This window comes from Homo sapiens, chromosome 8 (assembly GCF_000001405.40).
Source record: "Homo sapiens chromosome 8, GRCh38.p14 Primary Assembly".
NCBI lineage: Eukaryota > Metazoa > Chordata > Mammalia > Primates > Hominidae > Homo > Homo sapiens.
The window spans coordinates 50,158,333-50,170,912 of record NC_000008.11 but is presented as its reverse complement, the minus strand read 5'-3'; the positions used below and the strand labels follow the sequence as shown (position 1 = coordinate 50,170,912).

At 36.8% G+C, this 12,580-nt stretch overlaps 1 protein-coding gene across 21 annotated transcripts in view; it reads right to left on the bottom strand.

Moving 5' to 3' along the window:
- SNTG1 (syntrophin gamma 1) overlaps positions 1 to 12,580 on the bottom strand; it is an 886,897-nt gene that overhangs the window by 625,780 nt on the left and 248,537 nt on the right. Inside the window, exon 1 of one of the 21 annotated variants that reach the window (NM_001321778.2) lies at positions 6,493 to 6,782. The exons of the other annotated variants lie outside the window; for them this stretch is intronic. The gene's annotated coding sequence lies outside the window, so the exon portion shown is untranslated. Of the gene's footprint in view, positions 1 to 6,492; positions 6,783 to 12,580 lie in introns of those variants that run through there. 21 annotated transcript variants of the gene reach the window in all.

Genomic DNA, 12,580 nt, shown 5'->3' with positions numbered 1-12,580 from the left:
TTGGAAGAGGGAGGCTGCCCTGTGGAGATGGTTGCATGCCCAAGTCCTCCAGGAGGTGCCCATTAGGAACCCAGAGCAGCCCTTGGCCAGCAAGCGGCAAGAATGTGGGGACCTCAGTCCTAGAAATGCAAAGAACTGGATTTTGCCACAAACCTACACAAGCTTGGTAGAACCCCCAAGTTCCAGATGCAAACACAGCCTGGATGACACTACAATTGTAGCATTGTGAGACTGCATAGAATCAATCTGGATATGTCATGCCTGCACTTCTGGCTATGGAAACTATGAGGAAACAAAAGAGTACTATTTTAAATGACTAAGTTTGCTACATGTTTTTATGCAGCAATAGATAACCAATACACGAGATAAATCTTATGCCTCACTCTATTATTACTGTATCCCCACATATGTCATACATGTGATTCCAGATTTTTTTTTAATTTACATGATAAGGAGTTCAGAATTAGATGTTGTGTCAAAATAATGTTAATTGCACTAGAATCATTATCATATCTTTTAAGTTTTTTCATAGGTTGTTTCCTTAGTTATTTTATGTGAAATAATTTTAGACTAATCTGATTTTCTCCATTTATTTATTTTATATAGATGTATTTGTGGGTTTTATTTATGAAATAATAAATATACATTAAGCCTCTTGAATTAAAAAAAATGTAACCTTGTTCCAAAGGACCAATGTTGAGGTGTGAAAGTAGGAACATTACTTAAAGAACAACATGCTGTCGTCACTGAGGCTGGTCCGCTCCTGGTCTCTATAGCCACAGAGGTGAGCAGACATTAGAACTAGAACACAATGTCCAAAGTACCACTCTCACAGCCCCAGGTGCAAATATGAAGAGCAAAAAGGGAAAGGAAGTTCAATGGCTAGATGAGTCTTCTGTTTACATATTTACCACCCTCATTTCCACGATTACCTATTTATTTTTACTTCATTATTATTATTTTACACATGGGGTCCCACTCTGTCATCAAGACTAGAGTGCAGTGGGTGAACACTCAGTGCATAACTCACTGCAGCCTCTAACTCCTCGGCTCCAGTGATCCTCCTGCCTTAACCACCCAAGTAGCTGGGATTACAAGTGCAAGCCACTACACTCAGCTCCTAGTTGGGACCTCTGCAAAGGCTTTAACTTAACACTGTGAGGGAAATGAAGAAATCAAATAAAAACTACAAACCAAAACACAGACAGTCCAAAGAAGAGTTCACTACAGCTAATGAAGTAAATAAAAATCTAAAAATGGTAGGTTAATCAATGTATTACTTAACAAGGAACTAGAATAACGGAGGGATTTTAAGTTTCTATCCAACTGGAATATGTGAGGCAAATAAGAAATACCAGGGCTCTTGCCACCATGTCCTTCCCAGTTCTGAGCTCCCTAAGAGTGGGCTGTCTTCTCCCTCCCTTTCTAGGTCTTTATACATTTTTCTCTATGTGATGTCCAAGATATTAAGTTGCATTTAAGTGGGAGGAAGAAGCAGAATTGCTCCTACTCCAGTTTTCTCAGAAGCAGAAGTCGAACTTCATTTTTGACTTAGGAATTTAACTGGAAAATTTAAGTGTGAAATATGAGTATACATGTGAGTTTTAAAAATACACTATTGATGTCAGTTATTCAAAGTCTTTTAATATAGATACAACCATACCATCTGTGTGCCCTATGATGTCTTTTTGTGAAATAAATTATTATTCACTGAAATTATTCATTGAAATTATTGTTCATTGAAAACCCTGAAACACAAATATCACTGAGGAAAAGAAATCAACCACAAATGACAAAGATGGAAAAGTTACAGAAAGAAAATAAGTGTTTTAAAATACTCCTCATCTATATAAAAATGTGAAACAATCACTCTGCCTGGCGTATTATTTAATAAGTTAAATATCTTAGTTGTGATGGAAGTTTCACAGAAATATACATATGATAAAATGACTTATACATAAAAACGAGTGCACGTGTAACCGAATAACTCTGTGGGTTGTACCAAGGTCAGTTTCCTGCTTTTCATAATCAGGTACTGCAGTTATGCAAGATGTTAAATTTGGGAGAAGTTGGGTGAAGTGTACACTGGATCTCTCTGTAGATTTCTTTGCAACTTCCTAGAAATTATGACTAATTAAAATCTTAAAAGTTTCTTAAAAAGTAAAGGAAATATTGAATATAACTCCAACTCGTATTATCTCTTAAAGGAAAATAGAATAAAATACAAATATAGTAAAAACCATGTGTACTACAGTTGTCATGCTCCACTTCTTATATTGGGTAATAGATTCACAGATTCTTTTGGTATTAATATGCTTTATAACATACATATATACATATATATATACACATGCATATACATGTATACACACACGGATGTGTTAAGGTTTTGTCTTTGTCAACTATCACACTAAAGTAAAACAAGAAAAATGCATCTTATAATGTATACTCTGTTTATGTGTTTGTGTGTGCATATCTTCAGATGAGAGGTACATATTTTCTTTCCTTTACTATTAGAGAAAAAAACAAATTGTTACTTAATGGCAGTAATATAAGGAATGGAATGACTTGGTCTTAATAGTAAATCTACAATTTGTGGCCTTATTTACATTTGATTGTCTTTATGTTAACAATGTAAACTGGTTTGTGTTTGTATGAAGTATGTAGCAATAAAATTAATAGTCAGGAATTATAATTTTTCACAAATATGGTCCTTCCTAAAGATGTGTAGATTTTTTTCAGGAAGTTGGGAAATATTAAACATTTTAGAAAAAGATTATTAATGATTTAACTTGCTTAAGTGTTATCATACAAATTAAAGGAATTGTAATTAAATTATATTTTTACATTTCAATAAGAGAAATAAAGCACAAGAAGTAGCCACATAACATCAAATTATAAGTTAAAATTTAGATTCCTTCATTAAGTAATCATGTATTTTAAAATAATACTTATCTAAGGTAATTTTTAAATTATTAGAAAAAATCATAATGATATGCAAACTAATTAATGGCTTTCTAAATCTCTCTCAAAATAATACTTGAGTGAAACAAATTTACTTTATTCTTTCTTTTTTTCTTTACCTTTTTTTTTTTTTTTTGAGATAGAATCTTGCAAACTTGCCCAGCCTGGGGTCCACTGGTGTGATCATGACTCACTGCAACCTCGAATTGCCAGGCTGACAGGATCCTCCCATCTCAGCTTCCTGAATAGCTGGGACTACAGGCGCATGCCACCATGTCTGGCCAATTTTTGTATTTTGTATTTTTTTTTTTTTTCGTAGCGATGAGGTTTTGTTCTGTTGCTCAGGCTGGCCTCAAACTCGTGGGCTCAAGCAATCTGCCTGCCAAGGCCTCACAAAGTGCTGGGATTATAGGCATGAGCTACCGCACTTGGCCAAATATATTTTCTTATCAGGACCATTACATATAATCACGGTCCAGAGAGGTCAATGTGATTTGAAGGAATGTGATATGAAAGGTTTTACATACACAAGATTCAATACCTGAGTGACATATAGGAAAAGTTGGTTTAGAAACAGACTCTTTTGCTTTCCTAATTTCAAAGATTTTTTTTTTTATTTTATTTTATTTTATTTTTTTTATTTTTAATCTTTTTTTTTTCTTTTTTTATTATTATTATTATACTTTAAGTTTTAGGGTACATGTGCACATTGTGCAGGTTAGTTACATATGTATACATGTGCCATGCTGGTGTGCTGCACCCACTAACGTGTCATCTAGCATTAGGTATATCTCCCAATGCTATCCCTCCCCCCTCCCCCGACCCCACCACAGTCCCCAGAGTGTGATATTCCCCTTCCTGTGTCCATGTGATCGCATTGTTCAATTCCCACCTATGAGTGAGAATATGCAGTGTTTGGTTTTTTGTTCTTGCGATAGTTTACTGAGAATGATGGTTTCCAATTTTATCCATGTCCCTACAAAGGACATGAACTCATCATTTTTTATGGCTGCATAGTATTCCATGGTGTATATTTGCCACATTTTCTTAATCCAGTCTATCAATGTTGGACATTTGGGTTGGTTCCAAGTCGCTGCTATTGTGAATAATGCCGCAATAAACATACGTGTGCATGTGTCTTTATAGCAGCATGATTTATAGTCCTTTGGGTATATACCCAGTAATGGGATGGCTGGGTCAAATGGTATTTCTAGTTCTAGATCCCTGAGGAATCGCCACACTGACTTCCACAATGGTTGAACTAGTTTACAGTCCCACCAACAGTGTAAAAGTGTTCCTATTTCTCCACATCCTCTCCAGCACCTGTTGTTTCCTGACTTTTTAATGATTGCCATTCTAACTGGTGTGAGATGATATCTCATAGTGGTTTTGATTTGCATTTCTCTGATGGCCAGTGATGATGAGCATTTTTTCATGTGTTTTTTGGCTGCATAAATGTCTTCTTTTGAGAAGTGTCTGTTCATGTCCTTCGCCCACTTTTTGATGGGGTTGTTTGTTTTTTTCTTGTAAATTTGTTTGAGTTCATTGTAGATTCTGGATATTAGCCCTTTGTCAGATGAGTAGGTTGCGAAAATTTTCTCCCATGTTGTAGGTTGCCTGTTCACTCTGATGGTAGTTTCTTTTGCTGTGCAGAAGCTCTTTAGTTTAATTAGATCCCATTTGTCAATTTTGGCTTTTGTTGCCATTGCTTTTGGTGTTTTGGACATGAAGTCCTTGCCCACGCCTATGTCCTGAATGGTAATGCCTAGGTTTTCTTCTAGGGTTTTTATGGTTTTAGGTCTAACGTTTAAATCTTTAATCCATCTTGAATTGATTTTTGTATAAGGTGTAAGGAAGGGATCCAGTTTCAGCTTTCTACATATGGCTAGCCAGTTTTCCCAGCACCATTTATTAAATAGGGAATCCTTTCCCCATTGCTTGTTTTTCTCAGGTTTGTCAAAGATCAGATAGTTGTAGATATGCGGCATTATTTCTGAGGGCTCTGGTCTGTTCCATTGATCTATATCTCTGTTTTGGTACCAGTACCATGCTGTTTTGGTTACTGTAGCCTTGTAGTATAGTTTGAAGTCAGGTAGTGTGATGCCTCCAGCATAATTGGATGACATTTAAGTTACAATGCGACTTTAGGTTCAACTAGTAATGCCCATTGGTTATATGACAAATGTATGTATCAACATATATCTCGATCTTTTTAGGAACCACTAAGGTTTTCCAATCCAGGGTTTCTGTTACTATCTGAAAATTATAGTTGCAAATCACTGAAGAAGGAAAATAAAAATGGCATGGCCATAGTGGCAGCAATTTTCAAGCAGATAATATGCAGAACATGGTCGATGAGTGTCCGTGGCTGAAGATGACGTAAATTTAATTGCTTCACTTAAATTAAGCAATATTAAGTCAATTGTACTCTTTCCAGATACAAAAGCTCTATCTGGAGATGAGTACAAGGATGAACAAACTCTACAGCAAACATCAGTATACAGGACACAAAATAATTTTTGGATACGTTTTGACATTTTCCTGATTCTTGCTTGAATAAATCACTACCTGCAAAAATGATTTCTGTACATCCAAACATCAGTTTGCTAAAGCCTCATCTCTGTCACTGACTGCACTGTGATATAGAAAATTAATCTTTTCTCACTCTGACAACTTGCTGGAGCAAGGTGAATGGGAATCTCTGGCTGGGGATGGAGACTAAATGTTAAGTTAAATTGACCTCACTTAATTAAATCGAGCAATATGAAGCTAATTGCTCTCTTTTCAGTAAGCAAAGCTATGCCTGTGAAGCTCATCAAAGCAGAACTCAACACTGTTCTATCCAAAATAGTATAAACACCTGACACCTAATTCAACATTTTTTGTGTGTGTGTGTGGGAGATGAAAGATTATTTTTCCTGCTGGGGAGGGGGAAGCATAGTTTCTATGAGTTAGAGTCACTATTGTCTTAATTTATGACATACATAAAATAAGCTGAAAGCAAATTTAAAAACCTATAAATAAGGGATGACTCATTCTTTGACCAAAATGTTAGAGTAATATTCAGAAGAATGAACTTTATCTTCTGATGTTGTATAGCCATACCATTTAATAAAGCCAAGGAGCATAATAAGTATTTAACAGTAGAATTCATAGTTGGAGATAATATTTTTTCCAAAGAGTTTCCCAACTGTTAACATAAGAGTTGCATATTTTGAAGAGTTACTTCTATTTACACATTCACTACATATTTGAGTGCATATTAGGGACCTTGCGCTCTTCTAGGGTCTGTGAATGTAGCAGGGAAAGAAAACAAGGGACAAATAAATAAGTGAAATTTATATTATGACATGTAATATGTTGTATGCACAAAAAGAGTTGCAACCAAATATCCCCTAGTAATTTAAAATGTGTTCACTAAAAATTATCTACTTAACAACCTATCTAATTTTAAATATCTTTTGATTTTGCAGAACAAAACTATCATTTCAGTCAGATTGCCTGATAGAGCTTTAAATGAATAAGTACCAGTAAACAAGGTTTGCTTTGTTATCCACTGTTCATGCTTGTCAATGGAGAATTGCCAGTTCTCTGGAAAAAAGCAGTCCCCTTTCAGAATTTGATACTGGAACAGAACATGTTCATACGCAAAGTTCTTTGTAACTGTGCATCACGCTGTACCAGCCATGGCAAAGCATCTGAATAGCAGCAGAGTAATGTTCTATTCTCCTTGACCAATTCAGACAAGCATTGTGAAAAATTAGCTTTCTGTTCATTTTTACTTCTGACCATAGTTTAAGCATATTCAGCAAGCCCATGATGATAGATAGCAAAAAAAAAAAAAAAAAAAAAAAAAGAAATTGTGTCTTTCTATCAAAGTCTCTGAGATCAATGGGAACATTAAAATGGAAGAGAGATAAGAGGAAAAAGCAAATACAAGAGGTAGATCAAACCCATAGATTTCAGTCTGTCAGTTCAATAATTTGCAGTGCTAAAGGCAGCAATTGTAAAGATGTAGTCATTATCTTGAAAAGGTAGGATCCAACAAGTGATATTGATGAAGATTTTTGAATTCTTAAACTTGTCATGTTCCATTTAGAATCTTAAACTACAGTCTAAATAATCTTCTATTATAAAAGCAAATCAATTTTACTAAAAAAATTCATGGGCCGAGTGTGGTGGCTCACGCCTGTAATCCCAGCACTTTGGGAGGTGGAGGCGGCAGACCCTGAGGTCAGGAGATCGAGACAATCCTGGCCAACATGGCGAAATCCTGTTGTGTATTAAAATACACAAATTGGCCGGGCGTGGTGGCGGGCGCCTGTAGTCCCATAGTCCCAGCTACTTGGGAGGCTGTGGCAGGAGAATCACTTGAACCCAGGAGGTGGAGGTTGCAGTGACCCGAGATCTCGCCACTGCACTCCCACCTGGCGCCAGAGCAAGACTCCGTCTAAAAAAAAAAAAAAAGAAAAAAGAAGAAAATTCCTGAAGAGAAATTTGTAATACTTAGTTTGTTTATTAAAAAAAAAAAAACTTGGAATTATAACTGGAAGACATAAATTTTGGAAAAATTATATTTTGGAATACTCGGAAGCAACAGTAAAAGCGACACAGAAAAGTCGTCTTCTAATCAATAGGTTATATAGGTTATGGTTGAGAAGACAGTTTTCAAAATTTAAAACTAGAGAATATGGGATTTAGTTTCTGTGGGTGAAACGAGTCTGTCTCACTAAAGGGCGGTGGAATAACTGGCTGAGTTGAGGAGAGTTGCTTTCTTCCCAGTTGATAGAATCTACAGAGAGACCAGAAAGGGCCTCCCTGGAGGGTGAAGGGAGAGGCCTCTCTTCTGAAGAGTGAACTGGGACCTAGCCAGTTGCTTATGGAAGCAGGTAGTTAGCAACTCTATGGGAAAAGACTGGAACCATGAATCCTGGAAGCAGCCACATGGCACCAGATGCCATCCCCTTCTGTTTGCCCTGAGCCATTAGAAAGGCTTCCTAAGGATTTCATGGTGATCTCGGCTGTGCCTTGCTATAGAATATGCGAGAAAGTTTCTGGGTCCAGGCTCCCATGAGGCAGTAAGAGGATCATGCTCTGAAGCTGGGATAGCCGGGGCATGTTTACCTCCAGGAACAGCAGTGGGAGCAGATGGCAGGAGCAGAACACGTCACTGCATAATCATGAGGAATGGCCAGGCTGATGTCAATCAGGACAGAGGACTCAGCTTCACACATGTGACGTAAATACCCCTTCCTATCCTGATGTCCTAGATTAGATAGCACCTCAACTGGAGATCCAGCGGGCTAACGAAGGGAAGCATGATGGAGGATGAAGTTCTGCTAGGGACTGGTGTTTTCTTTCTTTTTTTTTCTTTTTTTTTTTTTTTTTTGAGACAGAGTCTTGCTGTCGCCCAGGCTGGAGTGCAGTGGCGTGAACTCGGCTCACTGCAAGCTCCACCTCCCGGGTTCATGCCGTTCTCCTGCCTCAGCCTCCCAAGTAGCCGGGACTACAGGCACCCGCCTCCACGTCCGGCTAATTTTTTGTATTTTTAGTAGAGACGGGGTTTCACCGTGTTAGCCAGGGTGGTCTCCATCTCCTGACCTCGTGATACGCCCGCCTCGACCTCCCAAAGTGCTGGGATTACAGGCATGAGCCACCGCGCACGGCCGGTGCTTTCTTATAGCCAGCAGGCCGCAGGGTTCACTCTGGGCAGCCTCACTTCCCATTGGCTTTGTGACACTATTTTCCTGCTCTCAGGTTATTCACAGAGCTGCTCTGACAAGAACCAGGGTGACTAATTCTATCTCAATTCCTTATTTTGTCCTGCCAAGCAAGTGGCAGTCAAGTCAAGCTCTCCACCTTCCCTGACGCTGTACAATTCAATTCAACCACAAATCACACAGCATTTCTTCTCCCTCTTGCTCTTCCTCCTTCCTCTTCTCTTTCTCCTTCCCTAAATATCATTCCCCTCTCTTTCATTCTTCTAAAAGCAGTTTCGGCCAGGTTGTGAAGGATTTTGAATGCTTGTCTAAGATTATATGCTTTATTAATGCAAAATAGGGAATGAATTGTGTTTTTTTAAAGACAATTATCTCTTAACCTAATTTGTGGTCTTTCCTTTTGCCCCTTAAATATTGCTGCTATCCAGGATGTTTTGATTGGGTGACTTTTTTTTTCTTTTTCTTTTTCTTTTCTGTTTCTTCCATACCTTTTTTGTGGGAATGCTTCCCTCACTAGACAAGGGCTTTCAAATCTATACTTACCTCATGCACTCAAGGGCCAATCACTGATTCTATCTCTAGGCCAGAGATTTCTCTGAACTCCAGATACACATACAGAACACACAACAGATACACCACACACAACACATGCACCACACACTATCAGGTCCTCTTGGAAAGTCCCTAGAATCAGCACATGGACACTGAAAGTTAGCCTTTCCCTACGAAAACATGCCTGTCTTTCCATGTAATCTATTAATAGTGTCATCACAACTCTTATGCCCCAAGCCATGAAACTGAACTTCGTATTTGATTTCTTCCTTCACTTTGGCCCTATACAATCAATGGGTCAAGTTCTACTAAAATCTCCAGATAATTTCCCAACTGTGTACTTTCCTTAAGTCTTTCTACCTCATTTAGCTTATCCTGTTACTTTTCCTTGCTTAGATTTCCATAATCATGAAAAACTGATCATATAGTGTTCCATATAAAATCCCTGATTTGTTCTATGCGCTGCTGCTGAAGTCATCTTTTTGAAACATAAAATTTCAACTTATGTGATCATGTGATTCTTCAACAATAAGTTCTTTCATGGATCATCATCATCTTCAGGACACAATCAGTATCATTTAGAATAATATTCACTGTCCTTAATGATCTATCTATAAGTCTTGACATTAAAATATCATCTTCTCTATTTTACTATTCCAAAGTCATTGCCATTCTCTAAATATGAAATCCTCTCTTTGCAGCAGTGGTCCCTCTCATTGGTGGCTGTGTCTGCCTGAACTCCCCTTTCCCCACACTTCTCAGACTCCTATCCTTCTTCCAGGCTTGTGTCCAGTTGTTTTCAAAACTCCTTCAAAAAATATTCTCTACAGTCTATGTTCTATGCCCAAGTTCTGTGCTCCCAAAAAAGTACTACAGCTATTCCGTGCTTCTGCAAGATCCCTATGAGTATCAAATAAGCTGATACAAGTATGAGTATGACTTCAGGTTCAAAATCCATAGGATACATTATAAGGCAATAATTAGCTATGCATAGTATTTCTAAGGGAGATTTCAGAAATATATTATGACTCAGATCACAAATCACATGCCTTGTTATTCAGGGATATTTACTAATACACTATGTTATTTTATTTACATTTCATTCACAATGAAATGTAAATCCTAGAAACTATCCTAGTTGTGATATAAAATGAAAGCACAGAAAAGCAAAAGAATGTCCATGCTTCTAAGTGATGAGGACTAATCTTAAGCAATCCATATGACCCTTTAAGAAAACTGAGAGGTTTTCTTCTTGGAAAGAGGTAACTGTTTCAAAGCAATAGCATTTTCCCTTTCAAATTCATCTCAAAAGTCAACAAAAGGTTACCAGTTACCATTAGAAGAGATATTGTTTATATCATCCCTTTAACACAAAAATTTCAGATATTATTGAAAGTCAATTTGCTGTAACAACGTTTATGTGTCAGAAATTGAATTCAATTCCATAAGGCTCCAGGTGAGTATTATCTAGAAATAGTTCTTCCAACCCTAAAGATTAGTAAATTTTTCTCAGAAGATGAGACACAAACTGCATAGAAAATTAAGTGCAATGCCCAAGAGCATGTCCTCCTTTTATTAGAAAAACCAACAAACACATTACTCAATATGTTGTCCTGCATAAATATCAAACATGCAGAGTTTGCTACTGTTTTATTGTTCTGAATTAAAATTTCTCCCAGTTTAAGTCTACCAGGTAAGGGCCCAACTTAGGTAATTGGGTATATTTTTCAGTAGGAGAGGGAGCTGCAGGTGGATTCTGAAGAACTTGGTTTAATTTCTTCAACTGCTGCTGGTGGTACTCCAGAACAAGATAATTAAGGTTTTTGAACTGTGATTCCTTGTCATATATAATGGAACCTGTAAGACCAATGGGACCAAATGAATAAGGGTAGAATGAGAGGATGCCTGTGAACACTCCATAGAAACACTAGGCTCAGGTACTGAATAAAATTGCTGAGAGAGTCAAATACTCAAGTACACACGTATGGCTTTTAGTTTCATTGAAGCTGCAAAACAATGACTACTATTTTATTTCCTTTTTTGATATACATGTCAAATAGTGAAAATATTCTCTATATAAACATGATAAAATAGTAAAGACTCACATTTTGCTTTTTCCTTTGACCAAAATCTCATTGAGATTATAGTAAAGAGACTAGAAAAACACAAATTAATAATTACAAAGAACAGCGGAGGACACAACAATGTTTTGGAAGTTTAAAACCAGATGGATGATGAGTAACTTGCTTAGAAGCCTAATGCCTAAACCTGTCCTAAGCCAACAGTAGGCAAATAATAGGAATAAGATAATTTATACTGCAGAAATTTGGTATAACCAGGAAACGTAAAATCTAGATGTTTGAAAGTATTGCCTCAAGTGGACAGAAAATAAGACTGGTTTATAGCATACCTAAAGAGTTTAGTAACAAACTCATAGAACATAACTGCAACAAATTGCAAGTGAAAAAAAAGGAATATTTAAAATAGTCAAAAATCTTCTAAAAGTCAATAAAGAAAAAAGTCAAATAATCCAATATAAACATGGAGCCAAGACAGGAACAAGCATTTTAGAAGAGAAAAAACCCAAACGGCCGGTCATCAAAAAGCACTCAACGCCCACTAGTTATCAGGCAAAGGCACATTCCGTTCACAACACGTTATTCAACCATCAAATTAGAAGCAAACACAGACAATAAATGCTTGAGACTAAGAGGAGCAACTGGTTTGTAAACTCTAGTAAGAACATAAATTTGTAAAATAATTGTGGAAAATAGTCTAGTATTATTTATTAAAGTTAAAGGTGTCCATATCCAAGGTCTCAGCGATTCTATCACCAGATATATACCCTTAAAAAACAAAAATCCTCTTACACATGTGCATCAAGGCCTACCAGAATGTCTGTTCACCAAAGCATCTTTATCATAGCAAAAAATTGAATCAATTAAAAGTTATGTTAATGTAATAAGGAATAGAGAAACAAATTATGCAGTATTACTGCAATGGAAGGTTGATTACAACAGAAAAAAACAATGAACTCCAGCTACATAAATCAACGTGGAAAAATAGGAAAATGTCTGTAGGTATTCAATAATTGCATAGTTGAAAATTAACAAACTTTGACTTCCTATTTTGCATTTAAAATTGTTTTTATTAAATTGAAGCTAATACTATTACCCTGTTATTCTAAATAGAAGTCCTGTGTGTGCTCCATGATCATAGGCATAGCATTCACTGAGTATTGTCAATCCCTGGGGACTCTGCCCAGTGCTCTCTGATGGTCATCTTCCTATACTTAAAAAGTTTTGAGAACCCACCCAAGAAGCTACTTTGCACATGGGTACAAT